The sequence below is a fragment of the Homo sapiens genome, chromosome 3 (assembly GCF_000001405.40).
Source record: "Homo sapiens chromosome 3, GRCh38.p14 Primary Assembly".
Classification (NCBI taxonomy): domain Eukaryota; kingdom Metazoa; phylum Chordata; class Mammalia; order Primates; family Hominidae; genus Homo; species Homo sapiens.
The window spans coordinates 195,141,102-195,166,830 of NC_000003.12; the positions used below are offsets into that span (position 1 = coordinate 195,141,102).

The 25,729-nt window shown below is 47.9% G+C and overlaps 1 protein-coding gene, 2 long non-coding RNA genes and 1 pseudogene across 9 annotated transcripts in view, besides 11 other annotated features; 1 reads left to right on the forward strand and 3 right to left on the reverse strand.

The window, feature by feature from the left end:
* Positions 1 to 25,729, reverse strand: part of XXYLT1 (xyloside xylosyltransferase 1) — a 202,876-nt gene that overhangs the window by 72,818 nt on the left and 104,329 nt on the right. For 4 of the 6 annotated variants that reach the window (NM_152531.5, XM_005269286.6, NM_001308069.2 and 1 more), the window contains one exon: positions 15,348 to 15,480. In NM_152531.5, the coding sequence (NP_689744.3) occupies positions 15,348 to 15,480 (133 nt within the window). Of the gene's footprint in view, positions 1 to 3,512; positions 4,870 to 15,347; positions 15,481 to 17,739; positions 20,477 to 25,729 lie in introns of those variants that run through there. The other 2 variants (XM_047447497.1, XM_017005749.3) reach the window with 2 other exon arrangements.
* RN7SL36P (RNA, 7SL, cytoplasmic 36, pseudogene) lies at positions 5,627 to 5,902 on the reverse strand (annotated as a pseudogene).
* Positions 6,488 to 6,597: an enhancer, noted in NCBI's record as "active region_21047". NCBI's record gives its function as "activates an Ori minimal core promoter by ATAC-STARR-seq in GM12878 lymphoblastoid cells {active_cell/tissue: GM12878}" and the evidence as "EXISTENCE:reporter gene assay evidence [ECO:0000049][PMID:35858748]".
* Positions 6,770 to 11,755, forward strand: XXYLT1-AS2 (XXYLT1 antisense RNA 2). 2 transcript variants are annotated; one of them, NR_102710.1, is made up of 2 exons: positions 6,770 to 7,004; positions 11,141 to 11,755. It is a non-coding gene; the product is annotated as an XXYLT1 antisense RNA 2 (long non-coding RNA). The 2 variants fall into 2 exon arrangements; NR_102711.1 differs by having other exon boundaries at positions 11,156 to 11,755.
* Positions 6,838 to 6,887: an enhancer, noted in NCBI's record as "active region_21048". NCBI's record gives its function as "activates an Ori minimal core promoter by ATAC-STARR-seq in GM12878 lymphoblastoid cells {active_cell/tissue: GM12878}" and the evidence as "EXISTENCE:reporter gene assay evidence [ECO:0000049][PMID:35858748]".
* LOC105374296 (uncharacterized) lies at positions 8,170 to 10,209 on the reverse strand. The gene is made up of 2 exons (XR_001741088.2): positions 9,987 to 10,209; positions 8,170 to 9,557 (listed from the first exon to the last, which is right to left on the reverse strand). It is a non-coding gene; the product is annotated as an uncharacterized LOC105374296 (long non-coding RNA).
* Positions 9,116 to 9,325: an enhancer, noted in NCBI's record as "active region_21049". NCBI's record gives its function as "activates an Ori minimal core promoter by ATAC-STARR-seq in GM12878 lymphoblastoid cells {active_cell/tissue: GM12878}" and the evidence as "EXISTENCE:reporter gene assay evidence [ECO:0000049][PMID:35858748]".
* Positions 11,461 to 12,102: an enhancer, noted in NCBI's record as "OCT4-NANOG-H3K27ac-H3K4me1 hESC enhancer chr3:194873291-194873932 (GRCh37/hg19 assembly coordinates)". NCBI's record gives its function as "activates a minimal SCP1, AML or CMV promoter by ChIP-STARR-seq in naive H9 embryonic stem cells {active_cell/tissue: H9 hESC(naive)}" and the evidence as "EXISTENCE:reporter gene assay evidence [ECO:0000049][PMID:30033119]".
* Positions 12,103 to 12,743: an enhancer, noted in NCBI's record as "OCT4-NANOG-H3K27ac-H3K4me1 hESC enhancer chr3:194873933-194874573 (GRCh37/hg19 assembly coordinates)". NCBI's record gives its function as "activates a minimal SCP1, AML or CMV promoter by ChIP-STARR-seq in naive H9 embryonic stem cells {active_cell/tissue: H9 hESC(naive)}" and the evidence as "EXISTENCE:reporter gene assay evidence [ECO:0000049][PMID:30033119]".
* Positions 14,181 to 14,320: an enhancer, noted in NCBI's record as "active region_21050". NCBI's record gives its function as "activates an Ori minimal core promoter by ATAC-STARR-seq in GM12878 lymphoblastoid cells {active_cell/tissue: GM12878}" and the evidence as "EXISTENCE:reporter gene assay evidence [ECO:0000049][PMID:35858748]".
* Positions 18,661 to 19,161: an enhancer, noted in NCBI's record as "H3K4me1 hESC enhancer chr3:194880491-194880991 (GRCh37/hg19 assembly coordinates)". NCBI's record gives its function as "activates a minimal SCP1, AML or CMV promoter by ChIP-STARR-seq in naive H9 embryonic stem cells {active_cell/tissue: H9 hESC(naive)}" and the evidence as "EXISTENCE:reporter gene assay evidence [ECO:0000049][PMID:30033119]".
* Positions 19,174 to 19,688: an enhancer, noted in NCBI's record as "H3K27ac-H3K4me1 hESC enhancer chr3:194881004-194881518 (GRCh37/hg19 assembly coordinates)". NCBI's record gives its function as "activates a minimal SCP1, AML or CMV promoter by ChIP-STARR-seq in naive H9 embryonic stem cells {active_cell/tissue: H9 hESC(naive)}" and the evidence as "EXISTENCE:reporter gene assay evidence [ECO:0000049][PMID:30033119]".
* Positions 21,223 to 21,362: an enhancer, noted in NCBI's record as "active region_21051". NCBI's record gives its function as "activates an Ori minimal core promoter by ATAC-STARR-seq in GM12878 lymphoblastoid cells {active_cell/tissue: GM12878}" and the evidence as "EXISTENCE:reporter gene assay evidence [ECO:0000049][PMID:35858748]".
* Positions 21,403 to 21,552: an enhancer, noted in NCBI's record as "active region_21052". NCBI's record gives its function as "activates an Ori minimal core promoter by ATAC-STARR-seq in GM12878 lymphoblastoid cells {active_cell/tissue: GM12878}" and the evidence as "EXISTENCE:reporter gene assay evidence [ECO:0000049][PMID:35858748]".
* Positions 22,248 to 22,415: a silencer, noted in NCBI's record as "fragment chr3:194884078-194884245 (GRCh37/hg19 assembly coordinates)". NCBI's record gives its function as "represses an EF-1alpha promoter that drives an FKBP-Casp9 reporter gene in an ReSE screen in HepG2 liver carcinoma cells {active_cell/tissue: HepG2}" and the evidence as "EXISTENCE:reporter gene assay evidence [ECO:0000049][PMID:32094911]".

Here is a 25,729-nt window from a genome sequence, read left to right on the forward strand (position 1 = left end):
GACTTCCCAGCCTAAAGAACTGTGAGCAATAAATTCTGTTGTTTATAAGCTACCTAATCTATGGTGTTTATTACAGTAGCCTGAACTAAGACACTTGGTAAGATTCATCTATACAGTCAGGGCACTTTTACTCTTTACCTTGAAAGTCCAGTCAAAAGCCAAATTCCAGTGCAAGAATAGTCCAACACTCCCCTTCCGGCTCTAACAGATGATAGGTCCAGATACACTGTGTTACGTGGCTCTGAAACAATTCCAAATACTTGCATAGTTTGCTACGTGAGTGTCATATGTTTTTCTATGATAAGAACTTGGAGTGAACTCTCCTTCCCCTTGAGAGAAAATGTTACATCATCAAATCTTATAAGACCCCGTATATGACCTCAACTACTGGGCTTCAAATTACGTATAAACTCAAGGCTTTGACATTCTAAGACCTCAGGCTATGGCAGGGCTACACTGCCAGCCACCTCTCTCAGGTGGCAAGTTTATGCCAAAATGAGGCCACACTCTTAACCGCCTCTTCAAAGACCGAGAGCTCAGTGGGGTCACACTCCATTAGCCTTTGAGCAAATCTCAGAACCCTTGCCAGCCAGCGCCAGCCAGCCAATGCTCTGGGAATCTAACGTGTTGTCCAGCATCTCCACTGTGTGGGTCATCTCTCCCAATGGCCACCTGTGTAAAGGTACCCCTCACACTTTAGTTAGACTTTACTTCCCACAGAGGGCTGCTTCCCGCCTAATTGAGCGACTAGACTCTAGTAATTTTGGAAGCCACTCACTCCATGGCTAATGCATTCCCTGAGAGAATTGTTCTCATTATTCTGCCCCTTTTTAGGCATTGTGAACCAAAGGAAAACAAAATCTCTTTGTGTAGCAATAAACCACGTGATTCATGTAATCACAACTTTGATTATCTCCTTATTTCAACCATAGAGAACACGATGCTGACCCCAGCGGTTATTTCTGACCCCAAATATGTAAGCCCTCCACAGCCTCTCTCCCCTGCCTTGGTTCCCTCCCCAGTCTCTCCTCTTCCGACCCTCCCTGCTCCACCACATCAAGCTTAGGTTTGCTGGTGTCTCCCGAGGCCTGGGACAGCCCTGGGTCACACTTGTTGTCCTAGTGCCCCCTCCCCAACCTTTGTTATCAAACGTGTTCTAGTTTAAACAATATATGAATGGTAACTATTTCTCATGATGTTTATCTTTACTTACTATGGTGGGCAGGCAGATCTAGAAAATGGAGTCTTCGGTGGCAGGGTCTCATTCAGACTGCTCACACTTTGGTTCCCCCTCTCCTTCCTTTTCTTCCAATTTTATCCCTCCTTTTGTCCCTGAAGGAACTTACCTTAGCTGGCAAAGACACCAAAATGTATCCTATGAGAACCGTAAGCCTGCTGTAGGTGTACCACAAATTCAGCTATAAGTTTTCTATTAGTCAACTGAAAAAAGGGGCCACCTAATTAGTTGTACAGAAGGAAAAAATAAGTTATCCAGGAGAAATACAACTATTCCTGACTGTAGACCATTTTCAGATGGGCCATCAAAGAGGCCACTTTGTGATGCCATTAGCAATGCCCTCAATGGCACCGCCGAGCAGGCAGCCGGGGCTGGGGCTGGGGTGCGTATGCACGCTGGGGTCTTCATGCGGCCAGCCCGCCCAGGCTTGCTTGGGAGGCAGCGCCGAACAGGGAGGATGGTGAAGTGGGAAGCAGTGAGGATATACCTGCCACATCACGCCCAGGCTGCTCCCTTCCCTCCTTCTCTCTCTTCCCTTTGGATTTCTCTCCCTCCATTCCTCCCTGGCCAGGCCTTCAACCTCCCAAAAGCATCTTCGGGCACCGAGAGGAGTTTAAAGATGCTCTTATACACATTCGACCTCTCAGACAATTAAAGTAATTGCACCTCTAAAAATGGTGAGTCTGGGGATCTTTTCATTTTCTTTCAAAATTGCATTTCTGGACACGAATTATGCTTGGCCTTGACATTTAGTTATTAGCTAAATCTGAGGTTAGGTAGAGAAACATTTGATGGAATTTTCAATTACCAATAAAAATCAGCTATTTCAAGTAACAGGAGAAAATGTTGGGAAAAAACAAAGTTGGAGTGCCCCTAAACAAAACTCTAGGGGTCAGTTCCCAAGAGCAGCCAACCAAAGCCTTGCGGGGTGCAGCCCACGGTGGGAGCATTTGGCCAGTTTTTTGCCTCAATGATCCTTTAAACCAGAGGTCTCAACCTGGCCATTCTTGGGCTCAGTCTGGTGCACAGATGTGGTTTTTTGGCCAGCAGATTGTCTGCTTAATTGTCGATATTTTGAAATCAGAAGCTTTTACGTTAACAACACAGAGTTCCGGCTTCTTTTGAAAAGAAAACAAATCAGAACATCTGGTAACACTGGGCCCACATTCACACAAAACAAAACACAGAACCATCAGAAACACTAGCCAGGAGCCAGGGCACAGAAGGGTTTTCAATCAACTGCTTTCCTTTCCTCTCTTCTACAATCCATTTTTAAATTGTAAAAACGTGTCTTACTTCCTGGAGGCATTTACCTGAAATTAAACTGCTGCAGGCTGTACCCTCAGTTTCTGAATCACATATGGGCTCTTCTTGTACCTGTTGCAGTATGTTACATTTACTAGATGATCACCTTTTCTTTTGAGAGCTAACCAAATGTTCTCTCATTATATATATATATATAGATAGATATATATAGATATAGATATATATAGATATAGATATAGATATATATATAGATATATATAGATATAGATATATATATATATATATTTATTTTTTATTTTTATTTTTTTTTTGAGATGGACTCTTGCTGTCATCCAGGCTGGAGTGCAAGGGCGAGATCTTGGCTCACTGCAACCTCTGCTTCCAGGTTCAAGCAATTCTCCTGCTCAGACTCCCAAGTAGCTGGGATTACAGGCACCCGCCACCACGCCCAGCTGATTTTTGTATTTTTATTAGAGACGGGGTTTCACTATGTTGGCCAGGCTGGTCTCAAACTCCTGACCTTAAGTGATCCACCTGCCTGGGCCTCCCAAAGTGCTAGGATTACAGGCATGAGCCACCGTGCCTGGCCAACCGCCCACTCCACTCCATCTCGAGTGTGATATGGCATGTGGACCGGGGACTGGGCCTCTTCTAATCTGATCGGTGCAAATGGCTGGCTAATCACATGCCATCCAGGTATTCCTGGGGTTGATTTGTGGGTTTTTTCATCCACAAATCTCTCCCAGATTCTGGCTGGCAAAGGGGGTCAAACGGTTCCTCCTTTTTTTTTGAGACACAGTCTTGCCCTATCGCCCAGGCTGGAATGCAATGGTGCAATCTCGGCTCACTGCAACCTCCGCCTCCCGGGTTCAAGTGATTCTCCTGCCTCAGCCTCCCGAGTAGCTGGGATTAAAGGCACGTGCCACCACACTTGGCAAATTTTTTGTATCTTTAGTAGGGACGGGGTTTCACCACATTGGGCAGGCTGGTCTCGAACTCCTGACCCCGTGATCCGCCCGCCTCAGCCTCCCAAAGTGCTGGGATTACAGGTGTGAGCCACTGTGCCCGGCCAAACAGTTCCTCCTTTCTGTTTCAGTTTCCCCTGCACCAAAAGGGCCTCAAGGATTCTACTACTCCTTTTATGCAGAAGTGTGTTTCCTTGATCCTCTGTGTGATGCCTTTAACCTTGGGCAGCAGCTAAAAGGGTGTGAGATGTGAGTAGAAAAGTGGCCCGCAAGACCAAGGTCACACTCCGTACCCCTCCTAAACCCTGCCAACATCTTGGCAGGAAGGTACCGGCAGAAGAAATAGGGGTGCCTTTTCTCTGCTCTGGTTATTCTTTGTAAATAATATGATTCACCCTTATGTCTCTACCTTGCTTAGACGCAATCTTCCAGGCTCTCTGAAAGCTGAATACCAATGAGCTGCAATTATACATCATCAGGAACATGAAAGTCCTGTTCACTGCTACCCAAGTGAAGAGCTAGAATTATCCTGCTTTCTTTAGAGTTCCAAGTTCGTGATCCTTGGGCCGGTCAACATAGGATGGTCCTAGCAGCAAAGGAAAGGATTTCCATGCAGAGACTGGGCTTGATTTTATTGAGAGAAGCAGCGGGCTTGTTTGTGTTTGTTTTTTTAACAGAGCCAAGGAAGATCAAGTGGAAGCCACGTGAATGGGCACCTCACTCCACGGTTACCAGCATTGATGGGGCCCTGCGAGCATCTCTGTGAAGCCACATGAACGGGCACATCACTCCACGGTGACTGGCACTGATGGGGCCCTGCGAGCATCTCTGTGAAGTCACATGAACGGGCACCTCACTCCACGGTGACTGGCACTGATGGGGCCCTGCGAGCATCTCTGTGAAGCCACATGAATGGGCACCTCACTCCACGGTGACCGGCACTGATGGGGCCCTGCGAGCATCTCTGTGAAGCCACATGAACGGGCACCTCACTCCACGGTGACCGGCATTGATGGGGCCCTGCGAGCATCTCTGTGAAGTCACATGAACGGGCACCTCACTCCACGGTGACCGGCACTGATGGGGCCCTGCGAGCATCTCTGTGACTTCACATTTCTGAAAGTCCATAGAATCCACCAGCCTCATAATGAGCGCTCGTCTACAGACGCAAGGACACCGCAGACATCCAGGCAAATCACGACATACTACGCCAATTCTGGCTCAGCTTCCTCTTTTACAAACAGTGATAGAGCAGTCCCCAAAAGGCAGACGGCTGGGTTCCTGGATCAAAACACTCCTTTGGGCAGCTCCTTGATGCTGGAGTCAATTCTGCTACCATGAAATAGAAGATCACAGGGGTTCTCTATGATCAACAGTAAGCAGCTCATTTAAAGAAGTCACCTAAGGCAGGAGGAGGAGACAGATGTTCAATTCAACCCCAGGCTCAGATTAAAAGTTTGATATTTCTATAAGAGCCAATTCTGCTGCTACCCTGGAAGCAGAGGGATGGGAACTTCAGATCCGTTTCACTTAGGAACCCACAGAAGAAATGCAGTCCTGTGGCTGAAGTCTGCACCTGAGATGGCCATGGAGCCATATAGAAATTCCCTTCATGTGGGGCTGGTCACGCTCAGCTCAGTCCTTTCCACACGTGGTTTGTTACAGAAGGTCCCTCTTGTACACATGCCACTGGGATTCAACTGTGCTATTTTGCTTTTTTTCCCCAGGAAGATGCTTACAGATAAGCCTTTCTGCTGCCTGGATTACAAATAAGGTTCTTTCAATGCGATGATGTTTATTTGGCATAGGAAACAGATTGCAGCAATGCAACAAAGCACACAGTCCTGCGGGCCCATCATCCGCCGCTGTGCCTCCACTGTAGCCCTGTCCAGACCCACGTCCCACTGCAAGCTCCTGGAGGACAGGGTCTGGTTTCTCTCTACTGCATAGCCAAACCCTCGGCAAATGCCTGCCCAGTGAGCTTTCTATTCGGGCACAGAGTTTGGTCTATCCCAAGAGCACTCTTAGAGGCTACGCCTGCATTGCAAAGCCAAACACCACTCCGAGAGACTTTTCAGAGGAAAGAAGGGAATGTGATACCCACTTCTTAGCATTTTGAAGGCAGAACTCCATTTTTGTTTGTTTGGTTTCTTTTTTTAGAGACAGGGTCTCGCTATGTTGCCCAGGCTGGAGTGCATGGCTAGTCACAGGCGTAATCCCATTACTAATCAGCACAGGAGTTTTAACCTGCTTCATTTCCAGCCTGGGCTGCTTCATCCCTTCCTAGGCAACTTGGTGGTCCCCCGTTCCCAGGAGGTCACCAAGTTGATGCCAAACTTAGTGCAGACACCCACAGAATTCCTGGGCTTAAGTGACCCCCCTGCCTCAGCCTTCCAAGTAGCTGGAACTACAGGTGCAGGCTACCATGCCCAGCTGAAGGCAGAATATTAAGCTGAGGGAGAGGTGAGCCACTCAGTAAAATTTACAGTTCCTACAGCAAAAAGTCTATGTATCTTGTCCATGGGATATCTCTAAACAGCAGTACTGACTCAGTGTTGACACCGCAGGCATTTGCGTTTTCATTAAGTTTTATCTACCCTATCTCCCTCACGTTATATCTTCCTTGAAAGCAAGAGGCATGTCTTCTACTTCGTAATTCCTCATGGGACCAATCCTATGGCTCACACACACAATGAGCCAAATAAAAAACTGAGAATAGGCTGGGCATGGTGACTCACACCTGTAATCCCAGCACTTTGGGAAGCCCAGGCAGGTGGATCACCTGAGGTCAGGAGTTCGAGACCAGCCTGGCCAACATGATGAAACCCTGTCTCTACTAAAAATACAAAAATTAGCCAGGCATGGTGGTCAGCGCCTGTAATCTCAGCTACTTGGGAGGCTGAGGCAGGAGAATCGCTTGAACCCGGGAGGCGGAGGTTGCAGTGAGCCAAGATCACACCACTGCACTCCAGCCTGGGCGACAAGAAAGAAACTATGTCTCAAACAAACAAACTGAGAATAACAAACTTTCCCATGGACTGTCTTTACAAACAAAAACTGAATGTGAAAGTAACTTCTCTAAGACCAGTAATGGGACTACAGAGCCTGACTTAGCAGCTGGCCAGCACCGCGGAGGAAACGCCCTCTGACTACACATCTGTTCCTGCATTCACTCAACAAACATCGAAGTGCCTGGCATTGGTCTGCACGGCATAAACAGAACAGAAGGGCTGCCTCCCAGTCCCACCCCTTCCACGCATTCACTTCCTCACTCATTCTTTCAGGAGACACCTGTGTCAGGCACGACGTGGTGAACTTTTAAAAACGGATTCAGTAGTACCAAAATACTCATAATGTGCAGACAGACAAAAGAACTGGAAGGAGTCGTGTTTTCAGACACAGGAAGCTTTTCACGTGCTCCACCTGGACCTCATCTCTCAGCCTCACACTCCGATCTTCAGCAGCCCCCGCTATGCGCCCGAGTCTTGGGACGTCATCCCGGAGCTCCTAGCCTGCCCGGGAGGCAGAGCCATCAGGTAAGAGACGGTCACAATGACAGCAACACAATCCCGCTTGGGTTCTCTGTACAGAGTTTTCCTTTTAAAATACCTTTTCCACTGATGTTATTTAAAAATAACAACCTCAGAGTAGACTTCTGATCTCTACCACAGGGCAGGTACATCCCTCCCTTTTTATGAGTAATTCCTGCAGGGGTTATAGCACGGCCTCCAGGTCACACGGGCTACACAAAAACACTTAGCCCAGTTTTCTAACTCCCAGGGAGTGAAGGAATCACTATTTTAAAAGGTGGCAAGCTTTTTTCTCCTTTACTCAGATTTAACTCTGATAGAAACTGACAGGCTCAATCTTGGTTAATTTTTTTTTTTTAAACACGAGAACAAGGTTCAAGAAATTCATCTTCAGGTGTCAGAGAGACGAAAAGAACCCAATAGCTTTTATCTTCAAGTCCTACATTTATGCATCTCGTAATGAGGGTGATGGCTGGTTCCCTTACAACGGAGGGCTTCATGCCTAGTGAACAACGGACCTGAATTTATATCAGCCATAAAGCCTTCCAGACGTGACGGTCACGCTAACATCCTGACATGAGGCAATCTGCAGAGAGATGGAAAGTGTGCTTGGCTAGAGGTTAGTGCTGCCTCTCTCTATTTTCTTCCCTTGTACCAACTGATTTCAGACTGAGGAACTTGAAGACAGAGTGACACTATGAGCTCATATAACTCTCCTCAGCTCTAAACTCGGCCACAGCAGATGTGTTTTTAAGAAACTAATAGACTGAAAATGACATTTACAGACGAAATGCTGTGACGACTGAGATTCGTTTCAAAATAATCAGGGGAAGAGGAAAAGTGGGTGGGAGGAGACATAAAACAAAGATTGGCTAAGGGCTGATAGTTATTGAGGCTGCATGGATATTATAATATTGGGGCATCCAGAAATATTACATGATGCTTTCTACTTTTGTATATGTTGAAAGGTTTTCATAGTAAAAAGAAAAATCATACCAAGAGACCAGCAACATTTATCAAAGAAGGCTGACTTAGGTATAAGGATGGTCAAGATACACTGTTAAGTGAACAAAAAAAGATGTACAAAGGTATAGAGAGTTTATTTACATATACACACACACACCCCCTGATAAAAATATAGAAAATTTCTGGAAAAATAATAACCTCCATATGCTATTCAAAACAAAAATGTATCACTTTTTAATGATGAGTTTTAGATAACAATTGTTTTCATCCGATGGGGGGGCAACAGGAGGAAAGGGCATAGTCGGCTTGAAAATGAGATAAACATCTCCATGGGCCAGGAACAGAACAGAAACCATATTGGAGATCAGGGCTAGAGCCATGGCTGGAACCTGGAAGCAAGCAAAGGGCCAGATGTTCACCCTCTGTGCAGCGTAGCAGGGACCAAACACCCCACGCACGGGGGAAAGTGGAAGCCAGGCTCAGTGAAACAGGGAGTGGGGGCTGCCTCGGGCACAGTCCTCGGTCTCTCCCCCTGTCCTCGTCCCTTCCTCCTCTGCTGCAACTATACTGCAATCTACATTCGTCCCTCCCCCCATCTTTGATCCCCTGGTTTCCAATATTCTCTGGGATATTAAAATGTTCTTCACTATTGCGGACTAGTTATTTTCTCTTTGTAATACTGTCTGTTTCTGTTTTGCAAATACCTTACAATGTTTAGGGTAAAGCCATAAAAACTGGTCTGTATAGATAAGACACTATTAATAAATGTATGATGGTAATTTCCGCAGAAGCGGGAAGGAGGGAAACACAGTACCAACACCCTAGCTAGCTGCGAGGAAGCCGGGAGATAACATATCCAGCGTTTTTGTCTTCCATAATAGGAGGCAGGCTTCTATGGCAGAGAATTCCCAAATTCTAGGAAAGGGGTTAAGATGCTGAGAAGCCAAAAGATGAGCAATAATTTTGCTAAGTTGTCAGCAGCCCCAACCGTACATATAAGGAAACTGAGGCTGAGGTTAAGTGACTTCCCTAGGTTCACAGAACTTATCAGTGGCCAAGCTGGGACTGTGGATAACGCTGCCACCACCACCCAGGAGTGCTGCTCGTGCTAGGCACCATAAATACATTATCTGATTCAATCTCCCTCAACTCTGCCACATATAGTGTTATAATCTCCATTTCTCATGAGCTAAAGAGACTAAGGCTCAGAGACGTCAAGAGACTTGCCCAAGGTCACACAGCAACTGAGTGGTAGAGGTAGTCAGTCCACACCCTCCCTTCTTCCCTCTGTGCTGGCGCTCACTCCCTCCCCAACACTCCCCTGGGAGCCCAGCACCAGTCCTTGGAGTGGGATGACGCAGCCTGCAGAGAAGCTTTCCTTCCGAGCGTCTGGAAGAACCCGAGGCTGGCACAGCACCATCAGCAAATAAAACCATGTGACTTAAAAAGGTGAACGAGCGGACATGATTAAAATACTTAACACAAAAGCGAATTCCCGCCTGGTGGCATGTTATCAGCAGCTGACAGGAATAGCCTGCCGCTTCCTCCTCAGGGTGGGCCGGGGCTCACACAGCACACGGCTGCCCGCAGAGCCTGGGGAGAATGAAACCGGAAGCCTATGCCGCCACCAACAAGCTCCCATTCAGAGGATCCTCAGGCGGCCAGCTCCACAAAGTGACCATAACAAAGGGCCACAGCCCACATACGCACACACTCACACACATATGCACACTCTCACACACTCACATACACACACACTCACACATACGCACACTCTCTCACACACTCTCACACACACACACACTCTCTCCCTCTCCCTCTCCCTCTCTCTCTCTCCATCACTCCAGGGTCAGCAGGAGCCCTGAAGCCTGAAGCCAAGCCATGACCAGGCCTCCTGGTCCCAGTGGCCTCCCCAAATGACCCAGTCCACAGTTGGGCTTCCTAACTCTACAGAGTGGTGACCTCAAGCCTGGAGCCTCACAGAGACCTTGAGGGCTGCCTCCCACCCCCTCCCTCTCTTACCCTGGTTTCCCTGCAAGCTCCCCTTCCGTCCCCTTTGTTCCTGTTCACTCCAGGATCTTGTAGGAGAGCCAGATCACCTGCTGCTGCTAAAAAGGGAAGTTTTACAATCGTGGGTAGAGGTGGGCAGCCAGATTTAGGAAAAAAGCGGGATATCTGTTAAAATTTAAATTTCAGGGTCAGGTGTGGTGGCTCATACCTGTCATCCCAGTACTTTGGGAGGCTGAGGCGGGCGGATCACTTGAGGTCAGCAGTTCGAGACCAGCCTGGCCAACATGGCTACTAATAACACAAAAATTAGTCAGGAGTGGTGGCTCTGCCTGCAGTCCCAGCTACTCGGGAGGCTGAGGCAGGAGAACTTCTTGAACCTGGGAGGCGGTGGCTGCAGTGAGTCAAGGTTGTGCCACTGCACTCCAGCCTGGGCAACAGAGAGAGACTCTGTCTTTAAAAAATAAAAAAATTAAAAAAATTTAAATTTCAATATACAATAAACAATAAACAATTATTTAGTATAAATAATTGTTTAGATAAACAATAAACAATTATTTAGTATAAATAAACGATTATTTATAAACAATAAACAATAACAATTATTTAGTATAAGTATGTCCTGTGCAATATTTGGGACATATTTAACATACAAAACACTTATTTGTTATTTATGTGAAGTTCCATTTAATTGGGTGCCCTGTATTTTAAATGGCAACCCTATATGCCTGGGGGAGGGATTGATTAGGAGAAGCCCAGAGGAACAAAGCGACTGGTAAAGAAAACACAAAAGAGGAGTGAAGATTAAGGGAGGGAGGGAGGGAGGGAGTGACGGAGGGGAAATGCTCTTTAATGAGGGTCTCTCTCACAACAGAAACTTCCACTATTACTTCATTTGAGTTCTCCAGTAATTCTCTGTGTTAGAGATATGTATCCCACTTACAGACCAAACAACAGAGGGTCAGAGAATCCAGTGACTCACAAAGTGTCACATGGGGAATTCACTTCTGAGTACGACCGAATGCTATTTCCTCCACATCAAGCTTCTTCGCCTGCTGCCACACCTTTAGAATTGTTATAGGCTGCACATAAAGAGGGCACAGCCGTTTACTTTTCTAATACTTTCATGAGGAAACAAATTCAAAATGGCACATCTTTACAAAATACAGTTGTCTATCTTTTAGATTCTCCTCTTGGCCCCTTATCCCAACTAAACACATCACCACTGAGGACCTGTCCAGGGGTTTAGCTCCTGATGAAGAGACAGAGAAAAGGTCAGAGAAAGGAAGGGTGACGCTCCATCCAAGATGACTACAGCGCTATGATTTCCAGATGGGGAAGGTCACGGATGCTGGACGCAACAGAATCTCAACAGGGACCCGAGAGAGAGAGGCTCCTCTCTCCCTACACTAATATCCCACGATCCCTGTGTCACTTTCCAGAACACACTGTCAGTTCCATGGACCTAGGATTATAAAATCCTGTAAGATTTATACAGAAAATATAAAAATCTGGGGAGGGGGAACTGTGAAACAATGTGAAAAAAACTATTTGTCAAATGGACAGTGGGGAATAACTTCTCCTCCCGCACCTCCTCCAAGCTTCTAACAACACTCATGGCACACAATACAGAGGAGACTGCCATAAAAATGACTTAAAATGTGCCCTTTTGAGGTAAAGTAACTATGGGACAAGTGACTATAAAAATGACACAGCTGGGGAGATCCAAATCTATTCCTGCTCAGCAAGTTTCCAGATTAAAATGTGTCTGCTTACCTAGTCAAGATTTGGTTTTGTGCTGTTTTGTGTTTAAATTTTCCTTTCATATAGATGCTAGCATGTTCTTCTTAAAATAAAACACTTGTCCACCTCACTCCCCTCTCTGGGGAGACCCCTTGGTGGTCAGAGCCCACTGCCAGTTCCATGGAAGTCCCAGGCAGGGGCAAGAGGGGACCTCTGTGGGAAGCAGTCTGACGGCCGCAGCAATGGCCAAGCCCAAGGGCCGAGACCGCCTGCTCAAGAGAAAGGCGGGCTGCGCTGTCCCTGCTTCCTCTCTCCCCTTCCATTCCCATCCTCTTCCTTCTCTCAGCCTCCCCACCCTAGCCCCACTGCCAGCCAGGTGAACACTCCAAAGCAGCAGATAATTAATGCCGGATCTCCCAGGTCCCCAGAGGTCCCCAGTCTTCTTGTGAAAGAAGGCAAAAAACATGCTCAATTCCTTGTCGGCCAGCCAGTACCAAGCCATTCCCAGCCCCAGCATGAGACTGCAAACGTTACAAGGCAATTCCCCAGAGCCAGCGGGGCACGCGGCAGGCAGTGCAGGGCTGTCATCTGCAGACTCCATTATTAAAGGTCTCTGGAAACATTTCAGCTGAGGGGTGGAGGGAGGGAGCATGAAAAGGAGTATAAGTCTCTGTTGATTTTTGAGTGCCCAGGCCCTGCAAACGCCATTCTTCAGACTCTGCTGCAGCGGAGGTCTCATGGTTATCATAGTACATAATGAAAATTAAAGATGCTCAGGGTTAGAAAAACTCAGTTTCATTTCGAATCTAAAATCTTTCAGAGCTTTCTTTCAGGAAGTCCAGATAATTAAACTGATTTTAAGTTGCACTGTTTATAAAATCCTAGATCTACAGAAAATACAAATTCTGGCCAATCCTGTCTAAGCACGATGGGTTTCCAAGTTTCCATTTATATCACATGAGAAGATTCCAAAGCAGGCCTTGAAGGCATTGGCGCTGTAACTGCATTTAATACTTAGCCCAGTTTAAACACCCCATGACGTCAGTTCTCCCCGATCCCTGAAGAGCTCACCAGCAGACAGGCAACTTCCAGACGGAGGGAGGACAATGAGGGTCCGAAGGGCTGTAACCCCCAATGCCAGAGCCGGGGAGCGGGGACTTAGAGCTCAGCTCTTCTCCTTCTCAGGTGGGGGAACAAAGGCCCCAAGGTGGCAGAGCTGGGACTAGTATCTAGGGCTTGGGACTCTGAGGCTCCCTGTATTGTTACAGTAGGTAGCTAGTCAGACATGAGCAGGGCAGGAGAGGGCTCCACCACCACCAGGAATGTCAGGCGACCATCAGCTGATGGTCAGGCAGTTGTCAACCGTCTCTCTAAAATGATAATTGGATGCAGCCAGCGCCAGGGAAAGGGAGGGTCCCAGTAGATAGAAAGAACCTGGAACTGACGACCAGCAGCTTCCTGGTAAGATTTCAGGAGTTGGGCACGTGGGCTCAAGCATGTGCACTAGGAGGCAAAACGGTGGCACTAGGAGGCATGTGCACTAGGAGGCAAAACCCTCCTCTAGGAAGGCTGGACTGGTAAGGGAAGAAACCAGGAAATAAATCACAGAAACAAACCATCTGGTAAAGAAAACACAAAGAGGAATGAAGATTAAGGGAGGGAGAGAGGGAGGGAGGGGAAATGCTCTTTAATGAGGGTCTCTCTCGCAACAGAAACTTCCACTGTTACTTCATTTGAGTTCTCCAGGGAGCGCGTGCACAACCTCGGTAAACACACTGCGCTCCCTCCCAAGGGCTTGCAGGCCACCCTCAGGGAAGAACCGGGGGAGGAGTAACGCAAACCCCAGAACCACGCCAATGTACAAAACCCCAAGTCAAAAGTCACACAGCACGTTTGATCTCCAAGTCACCCACTGGCCCTCTCCCAAGTGTACTTTATTTCCTTTCATTCCGGTCTAAAGCTTTTTAATAAACTTTCTCTCCTGCTCTAAAACTTGCCTTGGTCTCTCACTCTGCCTGAGGCCCCTCAAATTCTTTCTTCTGAAGAGGCAGGAAGTGAGGGTGCTACGGACCCATATGGATTCACTGCTGCGACCACTATCACCTCCCTCTGTTGGACCAAGGACCCCAGCAGATCTTCCTGGTATGAAGGGGAGGGAAGAAGGTGGGGAGTCTTCTACAGTTAAGATGGCAGGTGTCTGCCCAAACCCTCTCAAGTCGCCAACCCCTGACCTCAGAGGAAGAGGCCTACCCAGTGACTCTGGGGCCACACGTGAGAGGATTATATAAGGGAGAAAAGTCCACACGGCCCAAGGAGTTATCAGCTCATTTAGGGGCCTTGCAGGAATTTCCTGTTATGTGATCTGGGTCATGCAAATAGCCACAACCGAGCTGAAGCTGCCTCTTCACCCCCTCTTTCTGAGGGGAAACACAGGCTCTTGACTCACTAGTTGCCTGTACTCTGCAGCTCTCCAACGACTGGGCCTCCCTCCAGGAAGGTCGGCAGGGAGCCAGCATCACGGTGTGCACTGAGAACAAAGAGCGGGGCATGCCTGCGGGACAGCAAAATCCCAGCCCTTTCCGAACAAACTCGGCAGCTCTGCTCTGGGTGTGCTATCGCTCTACCCGCTGGAGAAACAGCCAGCAACATGAAACTCTCCAGGCCCAGGGCCACAGGCCTGGTTTATTGTAATCAAAACCCGCTTCAGCTGTTCCTTTCCTTTTTTTTTTTTTTAATTACAAGATGTAGAACAAGAACACACAAAAAAGTGCATGCAAACATGAAGCTAAGCTAAGTGGGGAACTGAGACCTTGCAGCTCTCCAGAGCCAACCCACCCCCACGCCCCCCACCGCCTGCCACGCCGGCTTTGGGAAGCATCACCCCCCTTCTCCTTTCCCATTCTCCGCACCTGCACATGTGCATCCCTAAAGGTTCCAGTTTGGTTTCGCTCTCGTCGCATGGAGCCGTTCCCTTTTTTGCTGTTGCTGTATAGCACTCAACTGAATGAATGCGTTTTATTTATCCATTCTGCTAAGTAGCAAATTTGAGTCGTTTTCAGTTTTGGCTACTACAAATAACGCTACAGTGAATATTCCAGAATGGTTCTCAGTCCTGGAGTTTCTCCATGACACAGGCTTGACAATCAAATGCAGCATCATGCGGAATGCGCTTCTTCGTGCTGACTACTGATGCCAGTCTGTGTTCTGACGTCTTCCCTCCCTACAAGACCACCAATCCACCCACTCTGCTAATAGAGAATGGGGGTCACTGGTGACTCACAGGCCAAGAAAGCCCAGCTGGTCAGTAGAAGGGAAGTTAAATCTTCCTCCGTAAGGCAAAGCCCAAGATTTTAAAATTCTGAGCTTAACCAGATCCAACAACCAGAACAACTGGGCTTTTCAGAAGAAAAAGGCCACAAACTCCAACAAAATAATGAGGTAGCACCTACGGCTTGGGATAGACCCACCTGCCCATACAATCAACTGTAAGCAATAAGTACCAATGTGTTCCCAAGATACTAAGTGCAGAAGGATCGGACGCCACTAAATCCCAATCTGTCACGGCTGGCAGAAGAGAGAGGGTGAAGGGTGGGGAGGGGTCGTGGAGGCGGCCCCCCTGCAGTCATGACGCACCTGTAAACTGGCTGCATCTCCCGGGCTATGCCGATGATGGCGCCTGGCAGGAAACTGTCAAATTCCTCAAACAACTCCCGGATGTTGGTCTTAAACTTCAGGTCTAGGTCCAGCTGAATGATCTGCAGGATCTCTGCGGGAAAGAGAAAAGGACAATGAGACACAGGTACACCTCCTGGGAGGCTCGGCCACGGACAGAAAATGAAGTGGAGGGCAGAGAAAAGGGCACTGGACTCTTACTGTTGTCAGTGAATGATGCACAGTTACCGCTGGAACAAAAGGCCTTTCATCTACCAGCAACCCCTCCACACTATTAGTCTTCACAAACGACTACCCGTGTCTTTTCTTCCAACTGCAGACATCCATTTTGCTTAAAACTAGGCGACCACACGCTCCAGTGTCGGCCTGCTGTCCTGATGTAACTGTTAACCGTGCACCATTTCACTCTCAAAAGTATCTCATTTGGATGATACCTTATGTGGACACCCTGCTTCCCTACATAAAACTCAAAGCGGGCCGGGCACAGTGGCTCACATCTGTAATCCCAGCATTTTGGGAGGCCGAGGCGGGTAGATCACGAGGTCAGGAGTTTGAGACCAGCCTGACCAACATTGTGAAACCCTGTCTCTACTAAAAATACAAAAATTAGCTGGGCGTGGTGGCAGGTGCCTGTAATTCCAGCTAGTCAGTAGGCTGAGGCAGGAGAATTGCTTGAACCCAGGAGGCAGAGGTTGCAGTGAGCTGAGATCGCGCCACTGCACTCCAGCCTGGGCAACAGAGCAAGGCGCCATCTCAAAAAAAAAAAAAAAAAAAAAAAACCCTCAAAGCATCCAGGTGTTTCCTCTTTGGAGCACAGGTGATAAATAACCCACACAAGAGAGAAGTAAAAAACATTATGGTCTCAGGCCTTTATCAGTGCGTTCTGCAAACCCAGATGTGTGTCAAGTGAAGATGCTGACCAGAGCGAAACGGCTGAATGATCTCAGATACCACAGTGTTTTTAATCCACTGCCTAAAAGACAGGATGAGCCCAGATTCTTCAATGTCACAATCACCTGGCACCTAAGAGCTGCTTCCATCACCTCCAGGTGACTCCGGGCTAGAAGCACAGGAGGGAGGCACTGGCGAAGGTCATTCCCCTATCCTTCACCCAGCCCAGCCTGACCAGGATCCTAGGTGTTGTGCCAGGCACCAAGCTGACCAGGACCCTGCCCTCAAGAGAGACATGCGGGTGGCAAAAAACAGAGGGAGGGGCCAGTGCTGAAGCCTGAAATGGAAGAGCAGCTGTGGGAGGTCCAAAGAGGGGGCGCATGGGGTTCAATGATGAAGCAGCGAGAGCAAGTTCCTGGTACCCGGCCTGGGAATCAGAACACACGAGTGCAACTTCCAGTTCTGCTGCTGATTGACCCTGTGACCCAGGGAAAGTTATTTTACTTCTCTGCACCTCAGCTGTTCCATTGGCTAAAATGGGGAGGTTCTCCTGTGCCTTGTGTGGGAAATAGCTTATGGACAGTGTTACAGGGATCCTAGAGACCTTGAGGAACAGAATTCTGGAGCACAGCACCACACTGGCCAAATGTAGAATTTGTGCAAAGGCAATTTAAGGAACTTGGGATAATTTTGCTCTAACTAAAGAAACTCCTGATGGGAGGAAGGGCCGTGCATTTAGTCAGCCTGTCAATCATCACATCGAAAGCCCACCACCTGCTACAGGTGCTCTCTCTTTCAAGGCCATCTAAACTCTACTTATTCTGCAAGCAGCAGCCTAAACACCCCAGACAGGCCCTGCAGGAGTCATGGCTTCCTGCTCTGTGCTCCCCACATGGCTGTCTGCCTGCCTGTGGTCATGGCCACCCGCGTACCTGTCTCACCACCCTTCTGGAGAGGGCATTCCTTGAGAATGGGAATATGCTGGGAGGGCGGGGCTCAGGACCATCAGACGCTTCTGGATGAGCATCTTCATCTTGTCTTAATATACCCTTCAGTAAACCTGAGCACTTCCCCTGCGCTTTAGGGACCAACTGGGAGTAAACCCAGAAAGGTCCTATGTAGGCCTAAGACACCAGAATCTGAGCTGCTTCGATGTTATTTACAACTCCTCCTTCCTAAAGCACCTTCCAGGAAGGGTTTGCTTAAAGTTGGTAACACTTCACCAGGTGAGGTCCACCGACTAGGAAGGAGACAGGCGGCAACTCCAGCACAAAGTGACCCATTCACACAGATATAAAACAACTGAGATGGGAGGCCACTCCTTTCTATTCCCGGAGGCCAACAGGCCCCTGTGCAGCCTGCACTGTCCTGCGGGCACCTGTCCAGGAGGTTAGCCCCTTCATGTAATTATGAAATAAGACGCCAAGTTGTAAATGTCACTGCTGAAGAGAAAGATGCTTACTAGGAATGCTGGAATTCATTAGGATGAGGTTTCTAAAGGGGCCTGTTCCTCTGGCCTCTGGTCCTTGAGGTAGCTGTCTCTCTGTGGGAAATATGTGGGGGCAAGAGGGTTACACAGAACGCTGAAGGCTTTGTGAGGACAAAATGAGACTGATCCATGGAAGTAACATCGCAGAGAAGATGCTGGTTGGAGGATAGCTGAAATGATAGCAGTAGGATCACTGAAATGTAAGGAATAAATGAACGAGATAACTGCCCCCAAAGCCAGGAAGACATGAAACCTAAGAATCATGAGGAAGAATGAGAAAAAGGAAGACTAGACAGCTACAAGACTCACAAGAATGGCCAGCACCCAAGGCTGCCTGAATGTCCACCATGTCCAAATCTTGAGAAAACGCAACAAAAAGAATGGCATGGCAGATCTGAAAACACTGGTTATAACTGATGCCACTCTACCCATTTTACAGATGAGGAAGCTGAGGGCCAAGAAGAGAGACTTGTCAGGCATTACACGCAAGCTAGGTGGCAAAGCTGATCTCAGAACCCAGGTCTACTGACTCCCTAGTTAATGCTCCTGTGTTTATTAGCCCCGTCACCTCCAACCCACTCCCAACACAGGCCATAAACTCCTAGAGAGCAGAATGCATTGTGTAATGGACCAAAGGGTGTGCTCAGGACTAACCAGGCACCCAACACAACTAGCTCGTGGAGTATCTGCATATCATCCCATGGAAATATCAGCATGAAGACAAGTGAGTACAAGCTAAAGGTGTAGCTTTCAACACCTCCAAGACCCTGTCACCATCATTGCCGTCACGGCCCTGGCAGCACTCCTCAGGAGCTCCTGGCTGTCCAGGGGACTATTTTCAGGGCTGAGAACACCTATGTCTTCTGCCTGGGTTTGAGGCCTGGCTGGCGGCCGATGCTTCCGTACAATTACACCACAGAGGGCCACATGCACGGCCCCAGTACCAGCTGGGAGATTTTCAAATCAACATTCCCAAGGGGATGTGCGGTTGGAATTGGCGGTGGTGGATCTCACATCCAGCAGAAACTTGGGTCGCTTCTGAGCTGGACGTTTCTCTGTCAAAGCGCTCTTCTCCATTTCCCTCCCAGGACATGCTTGGGCCAACTCGGCTCATCATCAGCATCCAATTAAACCAGCCACAAGCATGTCATCTGACCATGGGTGGAATTACAACCCAGAGTGAGTAATTAATGATACCCAAAAATAAACAAGAAAAGGAAAAAAAAATCCAGAAGAAAAAAATAGTGAGCCTTCTGTCCTCTCCTTTCCCTTCTCCTATCCCCAGAAACAATTCTTAGCAGACACATCTTAACACACAAAAAGCAACACGCAACAAAATAGATCAAGAAACGATGCAAAGAAAAGACATGCTCAGGTAAGCACAGTGCCTACTGTCCTGGGAAACACAACAGGCCTTCAGGGAGGGGCAGGTGAACCATGCAAGCGCCTCCTCTGTCTTTCTGTTTTGAAATGGCTTCAGAGATTTGCAGAGATAAATATTTACAACACATTAGAGGGCTTTCACTGCAGAGCATCAGCCCAAATTCCACTAACTGGGAGAGGGTTTAGGGAGAAGGGGAAATGATGACAGCATTAAGCTATGTGACTCCAGCGTCCTGAGGCTGAGGACCTGGAAGCAGCTGCCTGGAAAAGGGGCTAATTTTCCCATTGTCCACTTTGAAATATTGCAGCAATATGCCACCTGCCTTATCATACTCTGGTGTTTTTAAATTGCTGTTCAGGAGCACCTCTGGCCTGCGGGAGCCAAAGGGCAACTGAAAGGGGTGGAGACTTCCCCTAACAGTGAGAGGATCCTGACCCCAGAGGAGTTGTTTTGAGGCCCACGGGACAGGCACGGTCCCCCTGTGCTCCACCAGCCAGACCAGGCTGGCTTCTCGCACTGGAGGGTCTGAGCATGTGGTAGAGGGTCCGCCCCGCGACGCACAGACCCAGGGCGTGTCCCCAAGGGGATGTGCGGTTGGAATTGGCGGTGGTGGATCTCACATCCAACAGAAACTTGGGTCGCTTCTGGGCTGGATGTTTCTCTGTCAAAGCGCTCTTCTCCATTTCCCTCCCAGGACAAGGCCCAGCCACAGGGCAGCTGGCTCACTATAGGAATAGGGGCTACAAAGGAAGACGGGGAGCTTGCCAAGGGTCCTGCGCCTTGGCCACAGATTCTAGGGGCTCCTCCAGCCTGACCAGACAAATGTTCACCCTCTAGGAGCAGGGAAGGGATGTCTGTGTGCCAGGCCCTGGGAAGGCTTTGCATGCTGATTCAGCCCATGAACCTCCATCATGTCTCCTCGAGGTGGTGGTTAGTATCTTCCAGTTTCAGATGAGGAACCTGATGCTCAGAGACTTTCGGTAATTTGTTTAAGACAACTCAGCAAAAAAGGCTCAGGGTGGAGAGCAATTACAGATTCGCCTCGCTCGATAGTTTGCTTGAGCCACGACACATTTCTGAGAAAAGCCTTCGGACATCTCTGAAGTCCCTTTTAAAGTCCTCTTATGAGCCAGAAATGCTTCCACATCAAGGGTGAAGATAGCAGACGACCCCAGATCATCTCTGTGCAGTGGCTGGGGCTTCATGGACAGAACCCCCAACCATGACCACCTCCCACAAGACCCTCATCCCCAAGAAGCATGAAGACTATTGGGATTCTCTTTCATTGACAAAGACCAATAGAGAAACTTCTGGAAGAAAGGGTTTTATGCCCTTGTATCACCGAATCATCTAAACACTCTATGAGATATATAGATATATAGATTTTTTTTTTTTTTTTTTGAGATGGAGTCTTGCTCTGTCACCCTGGCTGGAGGGCAATGGCGCGATCTTGGCTCACTGCAACCTCCGCCTCCCGGGTTCAAGCAATTCTCCTGCCTCAGCCTCCTGAGGCACGCCACCATACCCGGCTAATTTTTATATTTTTAGTAGAGACGGGGTTTCACCATGTTGGCCAGGCTGGTCTCAAACTCCTGAATTCAGGTGATCCGCCCACCTTGGCCTCCCAAAGTGCTAGGATTACAGGTGTGAGCCACCACGCCCAGCCCTGAGATTAATATTATTTCTATTTGGCTGGGTGCAGTGGCTGATGCCTGTAATCCCAGCACTTAGGAAGACTGAGGCAGGAGGATCACTTGAGCTCGGGAATCTGAGGCTGCAGTGAGCTGTGTTCGCACCACTGCACTCCAGCCTGGGTGACCGGGTGACCAAGTGAGGCCCTGTTTCAAAAAAAAAAAAAAAAAATTCCACTTGACAAATGAGGAAATCGAGAAGTATAATAATCCAAGATCACGCAGCTGGTCAGTGGTAGGGCTCGAAACCCCGTCTGTTGGGCTCGACAGCCTGGTGCCTGCTTTTCACTGCCCATGCTGCCCTGCCTTCCGGGCTCCTGGGCAGCCAGGATACGGCCAGCGCTCAGCTTTGCAGGCTCTGCCCAGACAGGAAGGCCTTGACTCTCACTGTGCTAATCTATGTTTTCCACATTAGCAGCCTGCCCCTCCTCGGATGGTCGGGGGGAGAAAGGAAACAGAGTTCATAGAGTGATTTATGCAACCTGTTAGCAGCTCTGGTAAAAGGTTTTGGGTCCAGGAAGTTGAAATGAATAACCACAGCCAGTTTCATATATTCGCTGTACAACAAACTTTCTTCAGGCCTTACTCGCCCCCTCTCAAAATGAAGCATGAAAAACTGTGTTGGCTATGGCTCAGCCATGGCATTGTTTATAGCGCCCAGCTCCTGTTTTGTGGACCAAACAAATTATCATGAGAAGACACAGTTTTTGCTTCAGCAACAGTGTAACATGAGTCTCCTTCCTCATCCTTAGCACCTTCTGCTAAGAGGTATAAATCATATCCTTTAGGATAGGACAGAATTTATTTTGAACTTGGCTGAAAAATTTGGGGGACTTACATAAGACAGCACATATAACACCCAATGTAAATTTCCCTCTCGCTTCTATTGCCAATATGAAGTGATGGCTTACGCACGGATTGATGTAGTTCAATACACAGGGGAAATGGAATTTGAGATCTGAAAATCTTCCATTTCTATGGTAAGGATGTCCATGGTCCCTGCTGGCCTTTCCATAGTTCACATCTCTCTCGTGTCTGCTATAAGTTTTTGGTTTTTTTTTGTCTCTAAAAGCTTAAATTCTTTCCTATTTGAGGCAGGAACACATCTGGACTCTGTTCACAACAGTTAGACCGATGATGCTTAGTCTTTCTTCTTCACCAACAGGCTTTTTTTCAGAGACCCCTGGGGGAGAAGCTGTAGAAAGCAATCCTTTTTGGATAGAATTATCAGGTGTTTTCTGAAAATAATGATACAGATACCACTGGTTGCCCAAACTGTCACAGTGCAACTTTTCAAATTCTCCATTTTGAGATTCTTTATCAGAATTATGGGCTCCTGTTTCTAATCTCACCTTCCAACCACTCTCTCCCTCTTGAGTGGCATTTGAGCCCATGCCACCTTATGGATTCAGTCTAAAATTAGGTAAACTAACAAAGGTTCCATCCTGCTGCCTGCAGCTCCTCATCCCCACACTGTCCCCTGACACCTGCTCCTGCCCTTGGCCCTGCACTCTGTCAGGGCCTGTCCACTGCAGCCTTGCCCCTTCCATTGATTCACATGGCAATGACAATGATAGGACTAATTCCTTATATTTCTATGGCATGTTGCAACGTTCAAAATACATTCCCAGCCCATAAAACTCCTTCCCATGCTTTAACTCGTTTGATCCTTACAGCAACCCTAGGGGGCAGGTGCATCCATGTGGACTGGGTTTAACTGCATATCACAGAACACCTCTAGCAGCAACAGTTTCAACACAGAGAAGAGCATAACTAAGCCACATCCACGGAGGGCATGGCTGCTCCATGAAGTTATCAAAGACCCAGACGACTTCTGCTTTTCTCCTTTGCTATCCTAGATCTCATTTCCATCCTCAAGGTACCTCATGGTGCAAGACAGGGGCTGCTGGGGCTCCAGCCAACTTGGCTGCATTCCAGGCAACTGAAAGGACCAAAGAGAAAAGACACCCTGACTTTGCTTCCTGCAATGAGGCAGACTGTTTAAGCATCCTTCCTGGAAGTCTTTAACATTTCTTCTCATAGCTCACTAGACAAAATTTAGTCATGTGACGACACTTAGCTACAATGAAAGCTGTGAAATGCATTCTTTTATGGGCAAAAGGTTACCCCCAAATAAATGGGATGCAGTTGTAAATAAGAAAGGAAAGAACTGATATAGAGCAGGAACTAGCAGTACTCCCACAGAAGGCAAGAAGTAACTACACCCACTTTACAGATCAAGAAATAGAGGCCCAAAGAGATTAGGTGTTGCTACGGTCACATGGTCACTAGTGGCAAGATGGGAACTAAGTCCATGTCACTGGCCCCACATCCAGATCCCCTTTCCCTGTTCATGGAGCCTCCTTGCTGCAGTGGAGCCGCTGCTGTGTTTCCGCATGGACTCTTGCTTGCTTCCCCTCCAGACCTTTGTTCAGCCCTCAGCTGTCCCCAGTTGGTCTATCAACAAGATCCGTGCCTGCCAGCCCCAGGCTGCCATCCTGAAGGACTACTGTCCTCTGTCCCCTGCCTCACACTTTGTTCCTTCTTTGTTCCCTGCCTTGCCTCCCTGCATTTGTGTCCCACTGGGTCCCTTGGAATCCAGGCATGGTCATTAGCAAGGAGGACCAGGCCAGAGGTGGCCAGATACCAGCAATACAGACCCTCAGAGTAGGATCACAACCCCACAACTATTTCTGCAATGCCCAGAGAGTTCTGTGAGCAGGATGCCTCACCTTGGGGTACCCATACCATACCAAGATGGTTGACACCTCCTGAAATTGTTTCTGATGGCCAACCTCTTGTGTGACCATGACCTTGTTCCATTCTGACACTGAAAACACATTTCATGATGGATGTGGACGCTTATCTGTGGGTCCTTGACTACAATGCCTAAGCAAACACAAATTAGTTAGTGCTGAAGTGCAGTTTGGTAAACAGAACCTTTGCAATGATGGAGTCCGTTATGGGAAGTGACTAAGCGGGTTTCTTGGTGGTGAAATGTGTGGGGACTTCTGCTCCATTGGAAGGGGAGAGTCTGTATTTCCAGTGAAAATTGGAGCCTGGACTCTCAGCACAGGGGCCAGTCCTGGACTTCCCCGCCTTCCTGTGTACACATGAAAACATTTTGTTTTCAAGTTCTAGCACCTTGGCTACCTCTTTCGTGTCTCTAACATGAAGGTCTCTGTATTCTGGCAGCAGTTCTCCCCATTGTGAACAATGAATCCGCCACTCTTCCCTGGAGTTACACTGTCTCAGTTCCTCTCCCCCAGCAGACTCATTCTTCTCCAGGTGGTGCTCTCCAGCCTCCTACCATCCTCTACAGGGTCGCAGGCTACAGGGTTTCCTCAGCCTCCTCCAGCCAACTACGGCGGAAGCACCAACAACCAAGAGAGGCGCAAACTCCTGAGATCCTCTCCCAGAAAGGGCAAATAGGACCAGGCAGAGAACAGCCGGCTTCTCAGCGAGAGGAAGATGTCCACCCCCAGCCACAGCGCCTGACTTCTCCCTGGGACCATGGAGGGGTGTGGAAAGAATGGCCCCACATCATCCCTTGTGCTAGAAGAAACCCACATCACAGCACAGAAAAATGTTTCTCCACTTTATGAGTCCAGAAATACCTCTCTGACCTTTTCTAGCAGGAGGAAAAAATATGGCCTTAATCTTTTCAGTAGCAAATATCTTTTACCCTGTGACAGTTTGCAAACTGACTAGCCAATGGTCAAATGGCTCTTCAGCTTTCCTGTCTCCTGAGCCAGGAATCCTAACAAAATGTCACGTTATATTGGTGCTGTTGATACTACATCTTCTAAAAAAGATGGACGATCTATCATCATCGTTATATTAGTGCTGTTGATACTATATCTTCTAAAAAAGATGGACGATCTAGCATCATCTAGGAGATAATTAAGTCCCTATATCTCAGGTACTGGACTACACACTTTACATATTTTGCCTCATTGAATCCTCACACACAGGGCTTACTGTCCCCATTCTCTAGCTGCCTCCTCCCTGACAGGTGAAGTTTCATTGCTTTCATCTCTGTTTACCAAGGTTGAGAGGAGCCCCTCCTGTTATGAGTCTGATAAGAATGACACAGGAAGGTGGGGAAGTCCAGGACTGGCCCCTGTGCTGAGAATCCAGGCTCCAATTTTCATTGGAAATACAGACTCTCCCCTTCCCATGGAGCAGAAGTCCCCACACATTTCACCACCAAGAAACCCCCTTAGTCACTTCCCACAGCAGACTCCATCATTGCAAAGATTCTGTTTACCAAACTGCACTTCAGCACTAATTAGTCTATTTCCCAATTTTAATTAAATTTTAATTTCATTTAATTCATTAGTTTTTCTTCTAATTAAATAACATTTGAGTTATTTTAATTTTAATTAAAGACATAAAATACAATGCACCAAACTGACAGAACTGCAGCTGAGTGCAAAAAACAAAGAGAAAACAAGGTTTTGACTCATAAATATTTCAGCGTGCACTTCCTAAGAAACAAGGACACTCTCTTTCAGAACAACAGTACAACATCAAAGTCAGGACACTAGCAGTAACACCCCAATACTATTTCATCCACAGTCCCATTCAAAATGTGTCAGTTGTCCAAAAACAAAAACACAGTTCCTGGCCCCGGATTGCATGTAGTTGTCCCACGTGTTCTATCTGAAATGATTCTTCAGTCTTTCTTTGTTTTCCAGGACTTAGGACAATTTGGGGAATATGGGCCATTTTTTTTTTTATTGATTTATTGATTTTGAGATGGAGTCTCACTCTTTCACCAGGCTGGAGTACAATGGCACGATCTCAGCTCACTGCAACCTCCACCTCCTGGGTTCAAGTGATTCTCCTGCCTCAGCCTCCCAAGTAGCTGGGATTACAGGTGCCC